The sequence below is a fragment of the Homo sapiens genome, chromosome 9 (assembly GCF_000001405.40).
Source record: "Homo sapiens chromosome 9, GRCh38.p14 Primary Assembly".
Taxonomy (NCBI): Eukaryota; Metazoa; Chordata; class Mammalia; order Primates; family Hominidae; genus Homo; species Homo sapiens.
Window position 1 is genome coordinate 27,925,846 of NC_000009.12, and position 25,992 is coordinate 27,951,837.

The following is a 25,992-nucleotide window of genomic DNA, read 5'->3' on the forward strand; positions in this document are numbered from 1 at the left end:
TATTATGGGCTTACCTGGCTACGTTCCTTTACAGAAATAATCACAAACTATAAAACATGCAAAGATTGAAACAGAGTACATGACATTCACATAAAGACAGTTGTGATTTAAGAGGCAGGAAATGTAATTATGTGCTGCTGACAGTCTTGTCCTTGCTTATGAAAGGGCTTAGCAAACAAAAAATTCCCGTATCCTGGGCGCTACCAAGTGTTGCTATGGCTTGTTGGAGAGATCCCAAGAATCAACACTGAAAATCACCTCTCCTGACATAGTGCTTTGTGAATTGCGATAAGTAGATTTATATTTAATTTAGGTGTGTGTTGCTGAATTGATGAATAAATGAACTAGATGCTAGAAGTGTCTATCTCTAGAACTCATCCAGAGGTAATATGGTATCTCTGTTCTTTATATCCAGGATCTTTGGGTAATGTCTCTTTCCCGTTTTGTTCTGTCCTAAATTTACCTCAGTAGTCTACACCATACAGACTAAAAGTGGAAAGTTCACCAGCATCAACATATCTAATATAAATAGAGAGGGAAAATAATAGGTAAGAGAAGTAGTAAGGACACACAGGCATATGCACTAGCATGTTCCTACAGTAAGTCAGGAGGCCACAACTAGCATTTACTATTTTCATGCCCTGTTATTAGCCTCTCCACCTCCTCCTTTTCTCTATCCAGCATCTCAGATGGTCAAGATTCTTTGCCTAGTATGGTAACATAAATATTTATTTCTGAGAAGGCAAAGTTCATAGTAGTCCTACCTACGTGTAGTTTGAGAGAGTCTGCTCTTAAGGTAAGAAGAGTGAAGCAGGAGGTAGTTTAGGGTATCTTCTGGGTTCAAATTCCTCGTGCCCAACAGCAACATTTTCTGCTATTGTCGGTGTCAATCATACAAAGCCAATCCCATGCCCCCCTTTTTTATGTAAGGCATAAGGTTCTGAAATACCCATAGTGCACGTCAACTATCATTTAGTGGAAATGTTGTCTGTGCTGCAGTAGAAATGTCTCTCCCATGAGAGCTAAACCTGTGGACCAGCAGAGTGCTAAGTATGAAATCAAGAGGCAAACACTTTGAAAATAGACTATTAAATGTAAAGTCAAGAGGTACCTTCCACACCTCCACTGTTGGGTTCCCAGGTGTGGTATTTGGGTTGTCAGTGAAAAGAAATGTTTATACATTACATTATAAAACTATTAATTCAACTTTGTATTTTCTCCAAGCTGGGACTATATCCATTTCTAGTTACTCCTTATAATATTTGTCAATATAGCTGCTTTTGGATGATGAGGTACATAATAAGACCAGTGATTATCTCTGGCTTCAGAATTTAGAATGGTGAGCCTGGTTGTTACAGCAGGCTTGCCTAAAGAATTTACAACTGAGCTGAGAGTTAAGGCATGAGAAGGCATTTAATAGATGAAGGAGGAAGGGGCAAGTGTCTTCCAAGCAGATGGAAGAAAGTACGTGCAGAGCTTGTGGTGGGAGAAATAATATGGAGAAACCCAACACAAATAATAATATAGTGAAGCATAGAGATTGAGGGGAAGAAGAGTATGAAATGAAGGTAGAGATATAGGCAGGGGCCAGAGCATATAGGGCCTTATTGACCATGCCAGGTATTTTTGGTCTTTATCCTAAAAATGAGAGAGCCAGGAAAATGTTTTAAATATTATGTGTGTGTGTGTGTGTGTTGTGGGGGTGGGCAAAGGGGAAATGTTTTGACCTTGCCATATTTGTTATACAAAATTTTCTCTCTACCTGTGGCATGAAGAACACATTGTTAAGGGTGCCAAATAAGATACAGAAGACTACTTTAGAGGCTGCAGCAAAAGTGTGAGAAGAAAAAGGTGGTAGCTTGGTGGCAATGAAGACGGGGAGGAGCGTATAGAATTCAAGAGATTTTCAGAAGGTAACTGAAGAGATAGAAATAGATATATTTACCCAAGAAGGAGTACAGACTAAGAATCAAAGAAGGGCTAAGTTTGAGCCTTGAGGGAACTTAAACATTTAATACTGGAATGGAAAAGGATAAACCTGTAAAGAGGGCTGATAAGAAGATCATAGAAAGTTAGAAGGAAACCAGAAGAGTCTTGTCATGGAAGCTAAGGGAAGAAAGTATTTCTGGCAATGGGTGTTGTCAATAGCATAAAATGCTAGTGAGAGGTAAAATAAGAGCAGCACTGAAAAATCTCCCTTTGATTTTGTATTCAGGAGACATTGGTGATCCTTAGCAAGAGCTGCTTTGGTGGATGACTGTGAGTGAAAGAAAGACTGGGAAGTGAGCAACAGAGACAGAGACATGGTGACAAATTATTTGAAAAATTCTTCTGTTACAAAAAGGAGGGAGATTATTTGCTGGGGAGGAATGTGGGGTAGTGGGTGGTGGTGGTGGTGTTTTAATGAGACTTTGTGAGAAGGGATACTGTATAGTGAAAATTTAATTAAATAAGAAAGGATAGGATTCAAACAGGTAGGTGGCTGCACAGCTCCTTTACTGTGATAACAGGGAAGTGAATGTAGATGTGGGAATATGGAGGTGGCAGGAAACTGAGGAGTTCCCATTTGATGGCACCTAATTTCTCCGTAAAGTACAAGTTATCTGCTGAGAGGGAAGAGAAATAGGGAGAAAGACTGGGCATTGGAGAGGAGAAGTTTTGAAATCAGTGTTAGGGAGAATGGAAGAATGAGATGATCATGAAAAGAAAGAAAAGAAACACTAGGACTGCTGGAGGGTGAGGGTGACTATGCATTTACAGTATCAGAATAGGTAGGCTGAGGCGCAGGTTATGGAGAATAGAGGGCAAGTTCAAATGTATTTATCTTGGCCACTAACTCTTAGACTATGTCTAACAGGTTTTCAGTTAAATACCTAAGATATGAATAGACACTTAGCTAAAAAAGAATAGCATGGGGGAAAAGTCCTGTCTACCGTCTCCCTCACTTGGAGATTCATGTACTTTATCGTGCTGCATGGTCTGGAAGAAGTGTTCAAACCAATTGCCTCAAGACAAGTCTTCATGATCTGGCCTCTGCTTGCTGATCCTGCCACTTGCTAATCTCCCAACCTACAGTTTCCCTTCCCACTCTCCTGAACTATTCACATTTCTTGAAAATGCCCAACCCTTCTTTCCTCAAGTCCTTTGCACAGGTTATTCCTTTAGCCTGGAACATCTTTTTCCCATCCACTTTTCCTATGATTGTCTCTGGATAGAAATCATTTATGCCAGAAATGCTTCCTCGCATGGCTCAAGCTTTGAGTCAGGTTTCTATATTTATCTGTTCTCCTATTCTGTGCTCAAAACACCTGAACTCCCTGTTTGCTTACCCTCTACCCCACTACAACTTGAAGCATGGAAATATGTCTTCTTCAGACCTGTCTAAAGTAGATACAAGTATCCAAAGAGGAGCATAGTGTAAGGACCAAAGAAGGGCTAAGTTAGAGCCTTGAGGAACTTAAACACATTTAATAGAGGAATGGAAGAGGATAAACCTGCAGAGGAGGCTGATAAGGATATCACAGAAAGGTGGAAGGAAACGAGGAGACATGTCATAGAAGTCAGTTACCTAGCACGGGGTTGACACATAGTACACACTTTGTATGTGGCTAGAGAATGTGGCTGAGGAATGAATGGTGAATGCCTCTTCCTTTTACCTGGGTGGGGGTGGAGGGAAGGAGGTGATTGCTAGAGATGCTGAATTAGATGAAGATGACCCTGGACAAACTTACTTAAGCAGCAAATATCTATGTTAATGCTGGTGTCTTACGTTTCTATATATGTGATCGTTACTCTGCACAGAATTTGATATGTGCATCTGTTCACATATACATCCATGCATGCACACAGATGTCTACACACACAGGTATGTACAGTTTGCACTTCCTATTTTCTCAGCTTTTACTTCCACCTGTTCCATCTGCCCCAGATTCCTATGGACTCGTGGTTGTTTTCACATTCTTCATGCTTATCTTGATCTCTCTCCCTCCCCTTATAATATTTCCTGTATTCGTTCCTCTGGGCCTTTTGGCCTTTCATTTTGTTTTTTATTTCTGCTGCTTCTTTCCAGTCTGCTTAAAGCACCTCCCAACAGATTTTCAATAGGAATACAAAGGCTCACTTTGGCAGTGCAGATGTTATACAATGGCAATGTTCAGTGCTTTTTTTTTTCTTTTTTTTTTCGGTTCCTACAGGGACTGGATGCATACAGTGTTTCACTGCTGATTCTTTGTAATAGTACTGCACAGGCAAAATGTTAATAAATTATAGCAGCAGAACTAATTAAAAGGCATGCATTATACATCTTGTGGACACATTCTTCATTAGCATAAATTCTCAGCATTACACATCCATGTCAGAGGGAATTAAAAGGAAAAACTTAAAAATAAAAAGGCATACATACAGAGACCCAAATGCTTTGGTTTCCCCAAGGCTTTTGCTGAGCATATGCCCTTGCGGATTCAGTAGTTCTTTTAATTTTTGTGTGTTATTTTAAAGGAAATATACTATGTCCCATTTTTATGTACTTTAAAAATCAAACCAGCTTTAAGATGATAAAGTTAATCCCGTTTATCCCCCTTGCAACAAAGTTTAAATAATATTCAGTGAACAGGTTTCTAGAACTAGAAACAAACTCCTAGTTTTTCCATAATATTTTCTAATAGGCATTTGATTATAAGTAGCTCAATAACCAGTCTCTCATGTTAGCAATATTGTTGTTTTCACCTGAGTTCTTATTTTAGAGCCCAGGTTGGTAAGACAGACCCAAGGGTCACAGGGAAAGGGGGCAGCTCATAGTTCCCTTATATTACCATTCAGTTATTCAACTTCTTCCTTAGGAAAATGCATTGATTCTGGCTTTTTGTAAAGATCATGCTTAACAATACCGGGCCATGCATTTTCTGGGCCGACACAGTTCCCTTGTGCATTAGCAATCCTCATAACTTTCTCTACACATGGAAACCAATTTGATAGATAGTGGCAATGATGATAGGGAGATGACCAGGCATCCTTTAGTCCCTGAGCCAGGGGATTCTCCTTTTAATGATGAGTATTCATATCACTTTTAATTTCTTGCCTCCTTCCAAAACGGGATTGAAGGGCTTGAAACAACTAGATGCCTACACTTTTACAAGAGTTTTCCAACTCATCTTCCTACTTCCACTCTTGGCCTAGAGGCTTTTCTCCTCGTAACAGTCCAAAGGAGCTTTGGAAAATGTAAATCAGGCCACACTGCATTCCTGTTGAAAGCCCTTCAATGTCCCCCATCACTTGGAATAAAATTCAAAGTCTGCTAAATAGCCTGCCAGACCCTACTTGATTTGGCTCATTCTTCAATTTTGTTGCTTGCTGTCTTTCCACTTTCCTCCAGTAATACTACTGGCATTCTTGCTGTTCTGTGAACATGCCATGCTCACTTCTTTCCTAGGACCTCTGCACATTGCTTTTCCTTCTTTCAGATGAAAGCATGGCTTGATCACTCAGTATCTGTTCAGGTGTCTCCTCAGAGCGGGGGTCTCTGAGTACCCTATCTAGAACACCAAGTAGCACTAACGGCTACCTGATATTGTATATGTATTAGTCTGTTTTCATACCACTATAAAGAGCTGCCCAAGACTGGGTAATTTATAAAGGAAAGAGATTTAGTTGACTCACAGTTCAGCATAGCTGGGAAGGCCTCAGGAAACTTACAATCATGGCAAAAGGTGAAGGGGAAGCAAGGCACCTTCTTTACAAGACGGCAGGAAGAAGTGCAGCGTGAGTGGGGAAGAGCCCCTTATGAAACCCTCAGATATCATGAGAACTCACTCACTATTAGAAGAATAGCATGGGGGAAACCACGCCTATGATCTAATTACCTCCGCCTGGTCTCTCTTTTGACATGTGAGGACTATGGGGATTAAAATTCAAAATGAGATTTGGGTGGGGACAGAAAGCCTAACATATCGGTATACCTATTTGCAAATTTTCTTTCTTTTCTATCAAAATACAAGCTCTTCGTGGTTAGAGGTTTTATCTATCTGGTTCAATGTTTTCATACTAGAGTCCAGAAGAGTGCCTGGTGTATTGAAAGTACTCAATATATGTTTATTGAGTAAATGAATAACTGAAGCTTCTTGCCTACAGTTGAGTGAGTACTGGTATTTTTATTTTACCAGTTAATAAATTAGAAAAGACCTGTTAGGCACATGCCTCTTTAATGCAAGAACTTGAGAGTAAATTACATGATTAAAAAAACCCTTTGCAAACAAATGGTCCAGTATCATTGCAGGGCAATAAATTGGGGTCAGGTGGGATCAAAGTGTGCTTCATGTAAAAGGAAAGAATGACAACCTTTATTATAGATGCTGCTTTCATCAAAATCTAGAATAGCTCATGACGGGTTAGGGAAAAGAGTCCTTTTATACCCTTTTGGTCAATTTGTAAATTGGTACCTCTCTGGAGGTTAATCTATCACTAAAAAGCCTCAAAAATTGCATTACTTTCTGACTCAGTAATTCCATTTCTAATAATTTAACTTAAGGACATAATTATGAGCATGAATGAAGATTTATTTCCAAAGGTATTAAGTACATAGTAAGTTATTATCAGATAAAACATCTGAAACAACCAAAGTATCTAATCATAGTATTTTGGTTAAATTACAGTATAATTAAAGAATGGAATTCTCTAAGATTCACAATAAAATGCTAAGCAAAAATCAAGTAGGAACCCACTAAAGATACATATATATACATATAAATAATAATTTATCCTCATGTTAATGTAACCATCTAAGTGTTAGCAGTGTTATCTCTTCATGTTGGAATGATTACAAATGTTAGTTTTTTTGTTTTTTAATCTGTTTTTTTCTAGTGGTTCTAAAGTAAACATATATTGTGTAATTAAAAATTAAAAATATATACCAATAAACTCCACAAAAAGTGAACAATTAAAGAGATTCGTGTAGATAAACTCTTACTCCTTCTCTGTGAATATGATTGCTCACCACGTGCCCTGTCTTTCTAGGTCATGTACCCATTAATCCAGCATACATTTATTGAGCACCTATTATATGCAGCATTCTGTATTAGGCTACCCTTCCACCAAGGGGTTATTGACATCCCAGAGCTGTTTACCACCATTGTAAGTAGTTTTATAAGACAGAGGAAGGAATCTATTACATACCTCTTTTTCTTTTTCTGGAAGGTATTTCTGAAATGGAAAGTGTCTGTGCCAGCCCAATCCTAAAAGTTTTCATTTTGAACAGTCTCTAAAGAGACTTTTTGCCCAGCAGAGCTGCTCCTTGGTAGCAAAGCTGAACTTGTGACCAAGTGTTTGTGCCCTAAGGTCTTTTCCTTGCTATTTCACTGGGCTATGTGCCTGGCGCAGCTTCCCGTGGCAGAACTGATATACCAACCTTGTTTTTCACCTTACAAAGGTGGCAGTGGCTTGAATAAAAGGCAGTCTGCTGAATGACTTCCAGATAGAGCAGGGGCTGAAGAACAGGCAGTGACTTGTTGCCTTTTCCAGGTGTCTTGTTTAGTGCAGAAGCCTCAGTGCCTAGTGTGTTAGCTGACACAGAGTAGGCACTGAGTAAATAGTTGAGCAAATGATTTACAAGGAGGCCAGATGTCAGCCCTCTTTCTAATCTCACTGAAAGCACCCAAGAATGGGCCCATTTCTTTAGATTTCTCCATATACCAACTCAGGGACATGTGAAAATATAAGGAATTTGGAAAAGGTACTTTGTGTGTAATAAGGCTGACAAATGAAAGCATGTGATGGTAAAATGACAGAGATGAGAAGGAACATCAATAATCCATGCTGCACTGCAGAGATTGCAAAAGCACACAAGGACAAAGTGGCCTTGTCTCTCTGCTTAACAAGCAGGCGTTTAATTGGAAACCTAAATAACGTATTAAGTTTTCTGTGTTGGAATTACTCTATGCCGTTCTGCCTATCTGTCTCTGAATGAGATGAATTACCAGTGGCATGCTTGGGTTGCTTTAGTCAACACCAGCAGGCAGCTGTTGTTAATGATCTTTACTCTCCTGGTAGTTGGAGTGGAGTTTCCATCCTCCTGGGGAAGGCAGCTGTGGTGCTTGGGCCAGAGTTACCACACCGTGTGCATCTGCACCATTAACCTCTGGAGAGAGAGTGGTCTCTATCTCTCTCCTACCCCAATTTACAGAAATTCCCAGCCTTATTCAATACCCAGTGTTCTCTAACTGGGCAAACATGCTCCTTTGTTTCAGTTACTCCAAGATTTACCTCCCTTCTGTAGGAAACTGAAGTTCTGCAGAATGGACAAAGATGATTTCCTATTAAAAAAAAAAAAAAAAGCAGATGTGGTTTTCTCTCCCTATGGATGACAATCTAGTTTTATCTTTTACTTCAATTCTAGGAAAATTCATTCCCATCATGAAAAATATGTCAGAAGAAAAGCAGACCACTCTGTTGTATTTGGGTCACATACCAATTTTCTAAGCTAGCTAATGAAAAGGGACTATATTAACATGAAGGTAGAAGATTTTTGAAGGTGATGAGGAATGACAATCTTTTTCCCTGTGTTGGCTGTGCAATCACAAGATGATAATTTCAGGGGAAGAAAAATGACCCTTTGCCCTTTAAGACAGTCAATAGGCTTTTAGAAGCAGGCAACCAAAGATTGCACTGTATTAGCATTTAATTTTTAATTAACACTAGATTACAATTGCATTTTCAGAACATCCCTCCTTAGGCCCACATTTGCAGTAAGAGAGTTCACCTGGATGGATATTATTGCAGAGAACACCAGGGGAATGAATAAGAGATCCACAACTGCTGTCAGCGGAAAGCACAAAAAGGAAATGAATCAACTAACAGCAAAGGGAGCTCTGGAAGCTGCATGGCACGTGTACGGCACGATAATCAGAGGCCCCTCTGTGAAATGATTCCAAGGTTTTGTTCTACCTAGAAAAGTTTTGGAGTTGAGAGGCAGCATGGCAGAGTGGAAAGAGGATGGATTTTGGAATTAGACAGCTCGAGGTGAAAATCCTGTAACACAGAAAAGATAGTGTGAATGTCTGGGGCTACGGGGAAGATGAACAAGCCAGCTTTTGTAAAGTGCCAGATACATAGGTGTCCAGTAACTGGTAGATATTATTGCCTCTTGTTTGGATTCACAAATTTCAAAGAGAACTCTAAAGACTGGCCTGAGTAAATTGTGTTAAAGAAAATGAACTTTTAAGGATACAACTCACATCACCATCACTGTAGAGGATTTTCTCAGAACCCTCATCTGAGGCTCTGGATGAGAAAGTAGGCAGGTTACTTCTGTTTTGGGAGCAGAAGTTACTTTCTTGACATTTTACAAGAGGCCTTGGAATGCTTAGTGGAAAGAAGGGGTAAGGAAAGGGGAAAGGGAAGGAGGAATAGAAGAAGCAGGGGGGAGGAGAAAAAGAAAGAGCAGAGGTAGGAAGGAGTTGTGGTGTGGTAGTGAAACATTTTAAATCTTGATTTTAAAACCCATTTTATTACTTTGAAAAGACCAAAAGGTATTCTATTATAACAACGGCTGTGATTGCCTTTGAAAGATAGGAGTATAAAATATTTTTTCTGACTTGTTATTTTTTCCAAATTTTCTCATTGAGTAAGCACATATTACTTTTATAATTAGGAAAATAAAAATGGCACCCTTGTTAATTATTTCAGGATCACATGTCTTTTTGTGGTCCTTTGAAAGAGTAATGTTTGAGAAGCTTCATTAACTAACGATGTATACAAATAGGACCTGAGAGATTTAGGAATTCAAATTCCAGCCGTAGGAATCATCATAACCAAGGTAGGCCAGGACCCCTAGGCTCCTTTCACCTTCACGAAAGGCAAAAGGCAGAGTGTTTCATATGGGGGAGTCTAGTTTAGTAAACACAAATCAATCTCCGACAAACTACGGTTGTTTTACATGAGGACCCTAACCCTTTCTCCCTGACCTTTCCCTAATTTCTGGAATTTAGTATTCCAGTGTGTGGGATAAGTCTCTGTGAACTTGCTTCCAACCCAGCATTTTTGTTCTCTGGAAACTTCAGGGAGCATGAGTGAATTCGACAGATGCTGGCTTATCACACTGCGCCTGACACCTGGCTCTGCACTATCTGCAAAACCAATAGAAATAGCTACAGGGGAACTTGTATGCATCTTGAACAACTTTTAATTTAGGCAGTTATCTTCTTCAAACACTTTGGGTCTCTACATTTCAATCATCAGGACTCTTCAGGACAAGCAAAAAGCCTCAGTAAACCAGTAAACACCACAGTGCTTATTTAGACATGAACACTTTGATTAACGTTTACATACTGAAATAACCGTGGAGAACAAGCAAACAGCCCCATCCCTTGACTCACATAGATGAGCCCATTTACATACTGAAAATGGTACAAACTGTCCAGGATAGTGAGTACATTTGGACCATGAAGGGAATATCACCATGCTTTTTCCCTTGTGTAGTGATTGTTTTAGCATGTGTTGGAACATAATCAAAGGAGAACTTGATGTGTTTGGGAGGAGCATCAGATGAGTGATAGGTATTCCAGAAAGACGTTAGTTGACTAATGATACTGAGTAAAAGAAAAAGAAACGTAAGTGGTGAAGACTTTTAAGAAGTGGGAACATAGCTCTGGGGATGTGTTATGAGAAATCAGGACTTTAGTGTTATAGGATGAAAAGTTATATGCCATTGCAGAAAATTAGCGACAACTTGGTCAGAGTCTTGAAGTGTCAAGGAATAATAAAATAAGTACAATAAAGAGGAATATTTACTAGTTGTTGAAACCCTTTTCTGTTCCATATTTGCTTGTTTATATTGACTTTCTTAACTTGCCTTCCTAATATATAACATCCTTCCTACTCATGGTAAAGAAAGATGATGTAGCATTTTGATCAATGTGCAGAAACCAATGGCTATGCACTGAATTGTGCCCCCGCTCCGATCCATACATTGAAGCACTAACCTTCAATGTGATCATGTTTTGAAATAGGGTTTTTAGGAGGTAATTATGATTAAATGAGGTCATAAAGGTAGGGTGCTAAATTAATAGAATTGGTGGCCTTATAAAAAAGGAATCTCTCTCTCTCTGCATGCACTGAAGAAAGACCCTGTGAGGACAAAGAGAGAAGGTGTCCACCTACAGCCCAAGCAGAGAGCCCTTACTAGATACTAGATACTCCGCTGGCACCTTGACCTTAGACTTTCCAGCCTCCAGAAGGCGGAAAAACAAACTTCTGTTGTTTAAGCCACCGAGCCTGTGGTATTTTACTATGGCAGCCAGAACTAAGACACCAACAATATTTTGTTTTAAGTTTCTCTAAATTAATATGGCAAAATCTTGAACCAGAGCACTTAAAAAAATGAAGCTCAGTTACTTTCATCTCATTTCTTAGTTTCTTGACTGACAGAAGTAATATCTTCTGGCCATTTCCCGTCACTTATGGTGATATTTTCCATTGGAAAAGTAGGCCTTGAAAGTCCTATTTTTCACAGCCATCTATCTGTCTGAGTGTCATTCCATGGTCAGCCTTAAATGCAGACACCTCAGAATGGGCTCTTCATGATTTGCTTCAATTCTACATGTTGAATAACTTTACTTTACTGTTTCCCAAGTTTATGTCGTAAAGGACTGAGCTATAATAATAGATGTAGGAGAAGGATAGGCTTCTATTATATGATTAATAAGGCAACACTATTAATGAAATATTAAAAAGATGAAGAGAAGCATAAATGCTGTTTTAGAACATTCAAGAACAAAATGCAATTTTTTAAGAAAGTATTTTATTTTTGTGTCTCAACAGATGAAATTCATAACCTTGTTTTCTGATAAGACAATTCAAACATACAAATCAATTACAACAATGTGCTTATCAGCTCCCCTCCCACCCCTATATTTTAATGCAACTGACAGTTTTGAAGGACACCAAGACAATAGGGCTTAGCTAAACAATACGGCAATTAAAAATGGCCCTCTAAGAAAATAATTACAATAGTTGTTGAAAAGAATTTGTCCTTTGAGCAAAACAGACTGAAAAGGATTATCATGAAATGAGGAGAATTATAGCTTCTCTTCCAATAAAGGAGAAAAGGGGATGTATGTTAAAACAATGATACAGAAAGCTGGGGAGTCAGACTGAAAACAGAAAGCCCCAGGCAATAAATGTCTCCAATAAAATGCATCCCCTTGAAGATATCCATTCAAACTCTTGTTTCATATTGAAATAAATAACTGTTCCGCCACACCCAGCACCTGGAAGTGAATCATTTTTGTTCTCCTTTGTTAAAATTAATTTAATAATTTTTCCAATCCAGCATCTCTCTGAGAAAGAGGTGTCGTTACGAATTTTGTAAAAGTCAATGACATTAAAGATAACCTAAGCCAATCGATGGCCAACACCATTTTAGATTCTAGCCGTAAAGAGATTAGACATATTCTGGCAAACCTGGGGCTCCCAGGGAAAGCAGGGTTCATACTCAATGATATCTAGTTACTCTAATCCTGTAGCACCTTTCTACTAGGTCCCCAATTCTATATACCATTTCCTCATGCTTTTCATGGTAAGCCTCACAGCACCCTTGTGAGGTAGGTAGTGTTATGGTTATTTTGAGAGATGGGGATGCAGAGATGTTAAGTAGCTTGCCCATAAAGAAACATGAATCCAGTGACATAGCCCTAGGGACTCTCACTCCAGATCCTTGTCTTTTTAGTACTTAACTGTTCTGACTCCCTGAGAGTGGATCATTAAAGCAGGTAGGTCCTTAACGCCAGACTTGTGCCTGGCCAGGTGGACACTAAGGCCTATCTCTAAACCACATGATTTAGATGACAGAATGAGACACAAGTTGCAATCAATATGGAAGCCAAAGGAGTTAATGTGGAGAAACACAGAGCTAAGGTTTAAACCACAGTTTGATAATGACTTCAGTGACGGGCAGCTCGATTACTATGATAATGGATACTCAGTAGATGTTGCATAATTAAATGAGTAAATGAATGAAAGGAGATTGTGCTTGGATAATTGGAAAATTAAATTTTCTGTATCTTTTAAAACAAAGCTAGAGAAATCTGATTTTTAACTTCTAATCAAGGATGAGAAGGAAAGGACCGAGTAGATTCCTGAATATTTTGAGGGCATGTATTTAAGCTAATTATTGGCAATATTTAAAAGATATAAATAGACATTTAAAATGATTTTCAATATAGAATGTATTTACTTATCAATTTGGAAACCAACTCAAGATCAATATTAGAGGCAGTGTGATATGCATAATCATCCATTTTCCTCTGCAATTAAATTCTCTTACACATGCTCATATGATCATTGCCATTTATTTGAAATGCTTGTGTTCTCCAATTCTTATTAAATGTTCTTTTGAAATATATTCAACCATTAGAACAATGAACTACTCTTCCTACACTCACCAGCCAGGATACATTTTTCAGTTACTTTCAGTTTCCGTGAACCCATTCTTTTTCCTCCAGAAGACTCACAGCAGAAAACAGCTGCCCTATATTGAAACCAGCCCTGCGTTAAAGCCAGCAACTTTCTTACAGAACTGCCATGAAGAGCTCTTGAGACCACTGAAGCACAGACCACTGGATTCTCCAGGTGTTGCTAAAACAGAAGAGCTTATATAAATCAAGGTGGTGGAGGTGACTTGGTAATCTCTTTGCATTACACATTTGTTCTGTGCTCAGTGAATTAATTCCCTGTAGGATGTTTGTACTGATACAGTGTGAGGCTTAAAGAAACTCTGGATGCCACAGTATGGATTTGTGTGTGCAGGTTTGAAGAAGTGTTTAACTTTTATGAAATCCCTGCATGTATAGAATGGATGTAACCTGTTAGTCTTTTGTACATCCAGCTAATAGCCCATGGCTAAAGGAATAGGCTAGATGTGGTGAATTGCCTCTGTGCTATGGTACTAGCATACTTGATCTCTTGTGCTTGGAAATAATATGAATAGTGATGCTGCAGTTAGAAAAGGGTTCACATAAATGTTATTTCTGCCTTAGATGGGGATCTGGTAAACAAATTTATCTCCCAATGTGACAATACAAAATTATTCACTATAGATATAACTTTCACAATCACATAAAAGATTTAGGTATTTTAATCAAAGAGGTATCCTCTCTAGCAGTCTGTTCTTTTTGTAGAGACTCTCCTTGGGTTTTCATTTCTGAGACCCTGACTCTGGTGATTCAGGTGAGGTCTTAGTTTTTTTAGCAGACAAATAGAATAGGGAGAATCCACATATTTTCCACCTGCCTTATCTTTTTTTATTTTTTAAATTTTCTTATTTTTTTCCCCAGATGGTTCTTAGTAATAGATATGTATATACGTGTCATTCTGCCATTAATATACATATACTACTTTGAGAGATTTATTGACATGTCCTGATTTGCCAATGACAGCGTTATAGAATAAAACAATACCTGCATAGCTGTAATAAGCGATCTCCTTCCCAATCCTTTATTTTTTGATAGAGGGTCATAATTTTTGCATTTAGTTATTTATAAGAGTTGATGAAAGGCACCAGTGTGACAAGCCCTAGAAGCCAGTGTTTTCAGATTTTCCACCAGTCAGTGGCAGAAATAGTAGGTAAATTTCCCCTCAGGTTTCTCACTTTTCTCCTTAACTTGGCTTTATTCCACATTAATCTTCATGTCCTGTGTTTTAGGTCTGATAATGAAGTAATTAAGAAAAGAATATAGGGTTGTACAATAAGCTTATCTGCCTTGAAGGGAGTCGGTAGAAACTCCTAATTTTTATTTCGACTGTATCAAACAACACAAAAACATTAACAGCCATCTAGCAAGGGCAGTATGCTCATGACTGAGAAAAATGAAAGGAAGAAGAAACCAAACAGAAACAGAAACACAGAACTATGAAGAACTTCTAAATTTATGAAGTAATACATGACCAGAAAGTCTTTAAGGTGCAGAGCTAGAAGCCAGGCCACTGAGTTAAAAGTATGTTTAGCTTCGAGTTCATTATATTATCTTCTTCCCATTGTTTAAGTACAAGTTCTGAAGTATTGGGATCATCTTATCCCTGATTGGTGAGTTTACTGGACAAGCTAACTCCTAATATTAATTGGCGAGATGTCTACCCAACACATTCAAAACTATGCTTATGGGAAATGGCCCTTTGTTTTAGTCTTACTGATTTACTAGCATAAAATAAAAGCCCACTGTTAGAGATGTGACTCTGACCAGAGCAGCTCTGGCATTAACAGAACATTTTCAAGAAATTCTCTCTCTAGGGGCAAGCTTTTCATTTTGCAATTAAATAGCAGCAGGCCGGGTGCAGTGACTCATGTCTGTAATCCCTGCACTTTGGGAAGCCGAGGTGGGCGGATCACGAGGTCAGGAGATCGAGACCATCCTGGCCAACATGGTGAAACCCTGTCTCTACTAAAAAAATACAAAAATTAGCCGGGTGTGGTGGTGGGTGCCTGTAATCCCAGCTACTGGGGAGGCTGAGGCAGGAGAATCTCTTGAACCCGGGACGGGGAGGTTGCAGTGAGCCGAGATTGTGCCACTGTACTCCAGCCTGTTGACAGAGTGAGACTCAAAAAAGAAAAGAAAAGAAAAGAAGAATAGCAAAGGGACCTTTTCTGGTTTCTTGCTAACAGTCTCAGTATTTGTGTGTTTATTGCTTCCTGGAGATGAATCCCGGACTTTCTTGTTCTCTAACAATGTGACTTTCAGGTACCATGACTGTCAGCTTTCTGCTTCCTTCTCTACCTCCTCCTCCTTCACTGGAAGCCATCTAATGAGCCACAGGGAGTAAAGATGATACCCTAGATGATGACACCTGCCTGAACACATCTCTCTAAAGCCCATTCCCTCAAGTACGAAAGGTAAAGAGAGGGCACCTTCACTCTCAGCCCAAGAGGAGTTTAAAAATTTTCAATTCATTTCCTCTTTAACACTAGACAATTTTCTCTTTCCCTTTTTTCAATTTGCTTGAAGACTAAAGTTGTTTCTCTTTTTATTTTTTTTGTGGCTTCCTACTTGACACAATGTTTTGAATCATTTGGCTGAGTGAAGGCTAACTCAGAAAGAAAAACTAGAGGGTGGTGTTGTATGTATGGCTTGCTGAACCCTTCAGTTCTTGCTCAAATAGATCTTACGCCTTAAGTTATGCCCATTACTTGCTTATGTTATTAAGTCACATGAATTTGGGATACTTTTGCAAGTGATACAGGATTTAACTCCACAAAAGTAGAATATCTTTAGAGTGTGGTTGATATTACATAAATTTGGATGCCCATCAGGTTGAACTATGACCCCTTTGTAACTTTATGTAACTGGATAGCCTGTCTTTTGATTCCTCTGTGAGTTATCTCCACTCACCTTAGCATTTGAATGAGATTCCACTGGACCTGCTTCATCTCTGACAGTATTGGGGATTACTAATTAATACAGTGATACCTCACGTTCCCTGTGAGACTCATATAACCTACTTCTCTCAATAAGAAAATATTTTTATACGACTCCGATTGTCTCATATTGCATTTCTTATTAATACTTCAGTGAATTTAACTGAGATGTCAGATGCTTAAGCCCTTTCATCCGAAAAGAAAACATGTTTTCTTAACTTATTTTACATGTTAATAAGTTAATTTGTTTTTACATGTTAAAAAAAACATGCCCACAACAATTAACCAATAGCTAAAGAGATGCAAACCTAAATCAAGATACTTTTGTCATTAGCATTAATTTTTTGAAAACAAAAACTTTCAGGCATTTTTTACGAAAAGTTTTGTTAGGTTCTTGGTTATTAACTTTCAATCATGGGATATTCTCAAAATAGGATTTTGATAAAAGACATTAAAGGAAAACACAGATACACATTCTGTCTCTTTTTCTCCTGCTCAGGCTTATCAACTTTTAAAACGGTTATAATTTAAACACAAAAAAATCTAACCACCCTTCCCCACATATTTATATATGTATATATAAACAATAGAAATTAATTATGATTTGGGGTATTCTATACCACATGGAAAAAACCTGAAAACAACTGTCTTGTTATGAAGCAACTCAGGTTTTTATGATATACCTGATTTTGTAACTGGGGAGAAAAACAGCATGTTTTCTTCCAAACAGCCTCTATGCAAAGTTTGTTCATGCCAATTCCAATCTCTTGTTATCACACAGATATGTATATACATCATTTTGCTGCTGGACATACATTGTAAAGAATGAAAAATTTTTTTTGCAAGTCTGAATTAATCTCCTGTTTATTATTTATCTTATATTGTTGATTTTACTCAATATATTGCAGTGTAAAGATATTAAAGCAATTTAGAATAGGAGGTGTGCAACAACATAAAGTTAACATGGCAACCAAATTTCTGCTTTTTTTTGGTCCTTTTAGAACAGGCATAAAGTCTTTGGCTGACCCATCTTCAGTATGGACAGTTATCTTTTGAACTTTATTGGAATATAGTTAAGCAATTTAGTAAAACATAAATTTGCATTTTTGTTGTCTTCTAATGACTATTTTGCATATTAAAGGTAAAGTCTTCTTTAAAATGTGAAGTACTCTCTTGATTATGCCAGCTCTTTTCTCATTCTGCTAAGGCTATAAATAAAGCTTTCTATTTAAGGCTGGCATTATATCAACCCACCTGCTTCTGGAAGGGAGAGGAAAAAAAATCAGAATCACTCAACCTGCAGATTGCTGTCAGCTTGTGATTATGTGAATGGTAAGTCTTAACTTTTAAAGTGTTATGTGAGATAGCTGGAGGGTTTTTTTTTTTTAAAGCAATTTCCAGTTTAACAATTACCCAAGAATCTCAGTTACCAATGAAAGAAGACTTATCCCTGGAGAGAGCGTTCATTGATGAGGATGGCAGCAGCTGAGAAGTGACAGTGGTAAGTAGGCAGAGAGTGAAGGATCATTTCAATTGCTGCATCAGGAAAGGAGGCAAGAATGTGGGGGAATACCAAAGCTTTTCTCCTTCTGTGGGCTGTCTCAGGGGACTTTAGTTCCTGCTCTTTTTCTCCTTCCTATTCAGGATGTTCTCCAGGGAGAAGGGGATCAGGGAGGGAGAAGAGGTATTAAAGACCTTGGTAAACTTGAGAAAGGGCAGTCTGGGGCACATGCAAGCTTGTCCTGATCAAACTCCCAAATTTGGAAAGAGTAACATCAGCCCCAATCCTATTTTAGAAAAATAAACCTTTTACAAACATCTTAATTATGTATTTTGTTGTTGTTGGACACATTTTATCCTAGACCATTTGTTAAAAATCTCACATAAGATAAGGAAGTTCTAGTCCCTACCTTTTTGAGAAGACATGCAGTTACACATACTGTTCTCCAAACAGGCAAACCAACTTCAGAGTCGAAAACCTGTCATTAATTGTTGATTTAAAACCTTGTTTACTTGGCTAAACCTTGCAAGCCTAGACATATGGCCCCTGGACCCAGTGTTTATTAGGTTAATTGAGCTAAAGAGCACAGCAATCAGCTATCATTTTATCCTGTACACCTATGTTGTAAAGCTGTCCTTTCCCAGCTGGAATGTAAATGAGAAGGCTCTTTTGGGAATGGCTTTTGAAGGTGAAAAGGGGAGCATCACTGAGAGATTCATGTCAAGTGTTTGCCAAAGTACCAGAAAACACCCTCTGTTGCCTAACGAAAATAGAAAATTCAAAAATCAAACAAATAATATTTCATTCCTCAAAACTTTCTATACCCAAAGGCAGAATAATTCCCAAACTCCTCAATCAGAAAAACATCAAGGGTTCTAGCTGAAAGGAATTAAAAGGTGCTCCCAAAGCCAACGGTGGAAAATCAATGGAAATAACCAGGCACATGATGTATGAGTCTAACAAACAGGGAATGTTAATTATAGTAATAGAGATAATAAGTCTTTACCTAAGTGCTGAGTAGAATGAATGCCTTTGGTCCCAAAGGTTTTGTTACTAGATTCAGATGCCACAGAATCCATTTGGGATAGCTCATGTGAGATATAGGTGACTGGGTCATAGAAAAAAGGTATAAAAAGGACTTCAGTGAAAGTCAAGGAAGAACATAATCTCTGATTCTTCTTCAGGTAGGAGATAACTACAAAAATTGGCAAGAAAGAAAACAGGATTAACATGGGTCAAGTGTCTGCCTCCAACCTTCTTTAAAGTCTTGATATATCTTTATGTTTGGTCTTAGACTTCTAAGCTGAAAATTATGTAATTTTTTTCTTTCCTAGAAACCCTCAAGACATATGCAGTGTTGAATGGCTTCTGAGTACATCCCCTGAAGTTAAAACAAATGTCTTGACACAGAGATGAAGAGAGACCCTGGAAATACAAGTTAATTTACATGGGACTTTACTCAATTTTATTTCTCCAAGATCACATTCTCTCTTTTGTTCCTCTGATATAAAAATACATGTGTTTGTACCAGAGTAAAGTGACAAAAGTCAGGCCTCAATGCAAATGACATTTAAATAATCATTTTTTAAAGAGTCACAGAAGACTGCAACTTCTGGACTCCTGTAAGAACTGAGGAACACAGAATATTTGACAGAATAATGAAAAAAGAATCCATCCTAAATACTGTAGGGCAACTTCTGAATGTGTTTTTCCTACTAGGGAGTTGTCAGTAACAAGCAAAATTTCTGAGAAAGTTGAGCAAAACCAGAGTGGAATGAAAACCAACTGGAGTGAAATGCTGAGTCAAACAACAGTATTTCTTTCTGGGATACTTTGAAACAAAGCCTCTGGGAAGAAAATGACTCAGAGATGTCATATTTAAGTGAGTAGTTGGCCCCTGTGCTGGTATGAGCTGTTATGCTCTACCATGGTCTAGTTGATATAACAAAGAGGTAATCAGAAGCCATGAGGGAAAATTCATTAACCCTTTTGTGAAACTGAGTACTAAAGCACCAGCGTTTCACTCAATGGATACCAGAGCTTTGCACGCACAAAAAGAACCCAAGATCTGCTCAGATAGTGAGAGTGTAGAAAATTAAATGTCTATTCAATTACCTCTTAATCCATTGCTATGATGGATGCTTCAGGCAAAAAGTAGCCAATTCCCCTGAAAATATCTGGTCAATATACTTTTATGATCTAAGCACTGACACAGTCAATATTTTTTTGGTAGTCTATCGGAGGCCAATTCAAACAGTAATTTTACTCTTATTGGAAACATTAGGTTTAGGAATACGTCACAAGAGTATTACTCTAGTCTGAAGTAGACCAACCGGGGTTCTATGGAGCTCTAGTTTTTGAAAATGTTAACAGTTATAGCACGAAAAGAAGTGCTTTCTGCTCATATAAATTAGTGAAGCCTGAAGATAAACAATATTAAACAGGATTCCTGTTTACAGGACTTTTCAGAGGATTTATTAGGCTCATATAGATTTTGAATCTCTAAAGGTGGTTACAGAATGCATTTCCCTGATAGACTGGTCAACAGGACTTTTTTGGAAGAATGCTTAGAAATATCTTAAATAACTATTATTCCATAGATCAGAGTATGGGACCGCTGAGAAAATCCATTCTCTTTTCTTCCAATAAAATGAATAGTAACAAAATCTTTTAACTAAATCTTTTTCATGGATGGGTACATTTTAATCCAATTTCATTTCACTCAGCTGTTTTTGGCCAACTTTTATTTTGACAAAAGAGCAGTGAAAATCACAAAGCCCTCTTATTAATTGCTCAATGTTTCTCTTTTATGACAATTAGTTGAATACTACACTTCACACAATGCTGCAAAATAGTTTCTATTAACTTTTGGAAGTTTTTTTGAAATCTCTAACAGTTCATTTTTAAATTTGAAAGACCCCATTCCATTTGCACACAAGTTGGATTTGTGATAGAGTTTGCAGCAGAGCTTGATTTGCATTGTTTGATATAAGGTATTTGGCACAAATGGAAAATAAAATTCTAAAAGATCTATGATAGTCATCAGAAAAGTCAAATGAAAAATGGCTTGAACAGGCAATTCTTCAATCTTTCATCATATTTTCCACCCTTTATTAGGGGAGAAATGGGTTTAACTCTGTTGCTATCTGATTGGCAAAATAATTTCTGGGCTTATCCTACTTTTATTGGGGTCAATTTAATTTTATTAAAGTTCTTCAAAATTTCAAATTTTCAAATTTCAAACTAAAAAGCCAGCCTTTTGAATGTCAACCCGCCAATCCAATATGTCAAGAAGCAAACCCCAGAGACTTTCTACTCCAGCTTACATGTTATTAAAAACATGACCTATTTTCAGATCCCTCTTGAAATAGGAAAAGTATAGATATTTCCTATCAGTTCTATGCTGATTAAATATTTGACATTGCATGAACACAGTCCACATTCAATTCTTTCTCAGATCACATAACCATATGCTTTGAAAGTCATTCACTGAACATTTAGCCAAATGAAACTATGCCTGCTCTGAACCAGATGACTGGTGGTCACGGCATGACATCAGTTTTTAAAAACTGGGATGTTTAACTTTGAGTAACAGTCATTAATACAAACTGAATTGGATAAGTATCCTTGGGTCAGAGAGAGGAAAAAAAATCAGCACAACTTGACATATTTATGGGGCTATAACCTTGCTTTTTCCTCAGTGGAGAAAAAAAACACTAAATGGTTTTTAATCCACCTTGTTTTTTCTCAGTTCTTAGAAAACAAGACAAATTCCTCTTTATTATACAAGATAATTTTCAAAGAAAAAACCAAAATCTAATTGGTAAGGAAGCAGGAAGAAACCCTGAAGTTGTCTATTCAAGGTAATATTGTGTGTACAGTATTCAAGTAGAGAACATCAGAGTGGCAGTAGCTAGATGTTCCCTTGACTAGCAGCAATCTAGCATGCAGGCAGCTATCATGTTTTAAACAAATCGTTGTTTGCATTAACATCATGTTATGTATGTATCACCCTGGTTTGTGTTGGCATCTGAGAAGAACTCTTTCTTATTCAGAGAGCTTTTGAACATCTGAATTCTTGATCTTAGCCACTGGTGAATATTATCCTATGGTTATTTGTAACCATTACCTCTTCTTCCATTTTCTATTAACCCGCTAATAGTGACTGTGGAAAGTAAAATCAAGGAGTGATTAAATGAATCATTTTCATTATTAACACCTACCTTGCATTTTACAGGTACATCTAGTGGTGTACCACCTTCTGGAGAAACCAAGGGCTTTGTTTACAGTAAACTGGTCCAGTGTGATATTATTACAAGTATAAAAAATATTCCATTCTGTATCAAAACTAGGCACATGCCTTTATTTATAGTAACAGAAGTTAACAGAGTTGAGCAGTTTTGCCTTGGGTCCTGTTTCTTGGCATCCTACATCAGACAAACACATCTCTCAAAATATCTCCGCCCATAACTCCAGGGATCTAGTCTCAGGGTCATCTGTAGGTAACGGAAGGTGAAATCACACTTGGATCTATAGTGGTGAGTAACTAAAAGCACAACCTCTCATTCATATTGCTTTAAAACATGTACAGCATATATGTTTCAAAAAAGGAAGAAAAGAATATATTGATCTCTTTGTGGTACTGAACCAACAATATGGTATGATGCAAGGCTTTAACAAATGATAATCATAGATACAAATTTTTCTGTAGAGTATGTTTTAGACAAATGTGTCTTTTTAATATGTAAATCCTACACTGTAGGTTGTTCTTTTTTATTTTTTCTTTTGTTTTTTGCAGTGGTAGAAAATGCTGAATAATTGTCCGTGAGTGTGAGCCAAATATTCAGGTTCATTACTGAGATCCCCAGAACGCCAATATTTGCAACGCAAACACTTAGTATCCCACTGTGTGAAGGGCTCTGACACATGCCTGCCTGCCTGCCTTTCGATGGAGAGTCTCCATTGGAAGTCCTCCTGCTTCCATAGACCCTGCTTTTGATACAGGGGCAGCTGCACATGGCTGCCTCTTAATCTAGTAATTTACTGTGCCATACTGTCTTACTGATTACCCACATTGACAAAGAGACAGTAATGTGAGGGGTGGGCCTTCAAATCATTTTCATGTTGAACCTCCTGGGTCCAGCTACCTCCCCTTCCACAACAGCACCATTGTTTTTTCTGGGCACATACTCAAGGTCAATGCTGTTTTTGTGCTTGCCTTTCCCTCGGCTCCACACAAAAAGGAGAAGAAAACAAAATAAAACCACTCCCAGGAATGTGAAGCAGCCCATAGCTGTAGACACCAGTATTGTTTTAAGGTCCAGGGAAAAAGTATTGGCATTGGTGCCATTGGAAATGGTGTCATTGGAGTCGGTCATGTACATAGGGGTCCTGTTCGCATAAAGAAAACGATCTGAAGCGAATCCTTTCACAGTTAAGGAGGCTGTGAAGGTATCATTCCCAGCAGCATTGCTAGCGATGCAAACATACATCCCGCTGTCTTGATCCTGGGCAAAGCGGATTTCCAAGGTGCCATCACCCAACACGGTGGCTCTTCCATTGGACTTGGTGGTGATGAAACGCCTTCGGGGTGTCACCCAGGAAATCACAGGCTGCGGGTCTCCATCTGCACTGCATTCTAGCTGGACTGTCTGCCCTTCATCTACTAGCAGATGCTGCAACTTCTTTTCACGGATTTTGGGTTTTTTGCAGGTAAAGTAAAAAGAAAGGGCAGTGCTATGGAAATCCTTGAAAGACCTCTCACGGATGGTGTCTGGGCCAGCACACATAGGTTGCTGGCCACCAAACTGCAGGGTGGGCTGTCGCTGCAAGATCCAGAGAAGGCGGCAGTCACAGGCCAGAGGGTTGTTGTTAATGCTCAAGACCTCCAGAGCCCTAGGGGAGGAGAAGACATTCTCTTCCAAAGTTTCCAGCAGGTTCTGAGACACATTGAGCACGCGTAGGAAGCGGAGCCCTTGGAAGGAGTGAGGCTCAATGGTGCGAAGCTGGGCCCCCACTATATGAAGCTCCTGAAGGCGGATCAGGTCAGAGAACATGCCTGCTTCAATAGTGCTGATGGGATTGTAGGAGAGGTTAAGGTGAGTCAGGTATACCAGGTGTTTAAAGGCAAGGAAGGGTACAGTAGACAGATTGGTGTTGGTGACTGAAAGGGATGTGAGGTTGAGACCGTAGAGGCTATTGGCAGGCATCATATCCAGTAAAGGCCAATAGTCAATCTCTAGGTGTTTCAGGTGGAACAATCTTTTAAAGGCATACACAGGCATATTGTTGATATTGAGATGCTTCAGATGCAGGCTGATGAGGCTGCGGAGGTGGGAGAGGGCTTCTGTTGGTACTGCTGTTAAGTTGCATTTCTCCAGGGTGAGCTGCTCCAAGCTAAGAAGCCCACTGAATGCCCTGTGTGATATATAAACCAAATCATTGTCCCCCACTTCTAGAGACTTCAGGTTATGTAGATCTTGGAACATGTAGTCTAGTAAAATGACAATCTTATTCTCACTAATGTCAAGCTTAGTGAGATTGGACAGCCCCGTGAATACTCCCAAAGGGACCAGCTTTAGACGATTGCCTTTTAGGCGGAGGGAACGCAGGTTAAAGAGATTGTTGAATGCTCCTGGTTCCACATTGGCAATGATGTTGTCACTCAAGTCTATCTCTTCCAGCAGAGGATATGATATGAATTCTTCAGGGTTGACGCTTTTTAGCCTGTTTTTACTGAGGTCCAAGATTTTGGTTTCGATGGGAATGCCCTCTGGGATGGCGATCAATCGCCTTCTGTGACAGCTAACAGATTTGTTCTGGGCAGAGCACTCACAGCGAGCGGGGCAGCCAATGGTGGATCCCATGAAGATTAACACCACAGCCAGACCCAGGAATGGCTGCCAGCATGATATGGCCGTGTGAAGCATGACTCCACTTCTTAGTCTACACCTTGGTCACGGGTCTGCATGGAAGGGACACAAGAAGGGAGGAAGAGAAGGTGAGTTAGGATATAAATAGGTGAAGGGGCATAAATAGGGCAGCAAGTGTAATGGAAAGGATACTGGATTTGGAATCAATCAGATTTGGGCATAAACCTGATGGACGACCCTCTTAGTAACAGGTTCTTGGTCAAGTTATTTAATCTCTCTGCATTTTAGTTTTCCTGGCTGTGAAATGGGGATAATAGTGATAATAGTAATAGCTTCCCAGAGTTGTCATGACAATTTCAATGTTTGACAAGTATAAAGATAATGTGTGACACAGACTGTGAGACAACACAGTATAAATTTCACACTCAAAGGCTCAGTTTTAATTTAAATGAAAGAAACAGGTCAACAGCTAAGAAGAAAGCAGTTGAGTTTGAATCAGTGTCGGCATCACTAATGTTTAGGATATCATCCTCTATTCAAAACAAAGCTAACAGAAGTTTCATTCTATATCAGGCCTTTAGGTGCAACATACAAAACAAACTTATATTCAGTGCAAGGTGTTGGAATGTTTTTCTTCATGTATACATTTTCTACTTTTAACCTTTGAATTTTAATGTACGCATCTTTCATCACTTAGCAAACTTTAATTTATGAAGGGATTTTCTTATTTGAGGCAGACAAAAGATCCTCAAAGTATCCCTGTATTGTTTTTGTTTCTCATAGGAATGAGGCAGAATCAAGGTACAAGATGGCTATAATAAAAATGCTCTTTTAAATGATTTTGAGATAAATATTGAGGAATGGGAAGATAAATAATTTTCAGAAAAAGTATCATTTAATGATAAATGAACTATCCCTCTTTCACATTCAGACAAACTCAGTGGACCCGTTAAAGTGAAATTAAATAGGTAGCAAATGAGAAGGGAAATGAGTATGTTTTAAATGTGGATAGTTTAGCAGATACTGAATCCAACTGAATAAATAAAAGGTGTATTACTGAGCTCTGCTTTTCAACTTGGGGTTCTCAGGGGTACACTTTATCCACGAACACCATATTTTAATTAAGGTTCAGTAGTTTGAAACAATACTTTTAGATAAAGAAGTATTTCATAAACTTCAACATTCATTCCTGAGCTGCAAAGGAAAAATTAGTAAAAAAATAA

General features: G+C 38.4%; 1 protein-coding gene across 20 annotated transcripts in view; it reads right to left on the minus strand.

Moving 5' to 3' along the window:
* Nucleotides 1-11,771: 11,771 nt before the first annotated feature.
* The window catches only part of LINGO2 (leucine rich repeat and Ig domain containing 2), a 1,275,985-nt gene continuing 1,261,764 nt past the window's right edge, over nucleotides 11,772-25,992 (minus strand). For all 20 annotated transcript variants that reach the window (NM_001354574.2, NM_001258282.3, XM_047422814.1 and 17 more), the window contains one exon: nucleotides 11,772-24,861. In NM_001354574.2, the coding sequence (NP_001341503.1) occupies nucleotides 23,006-24,826 (1,821 nt within the window). In that variant the 5' untranslated portion in view covers nucleotides 24,827-24,861 and the 3' untranslated portion in view covers nucleotides 11,772-23,005. The remainder of the gene's footprint in view (nucleotides 24,862-25,992) is intronic.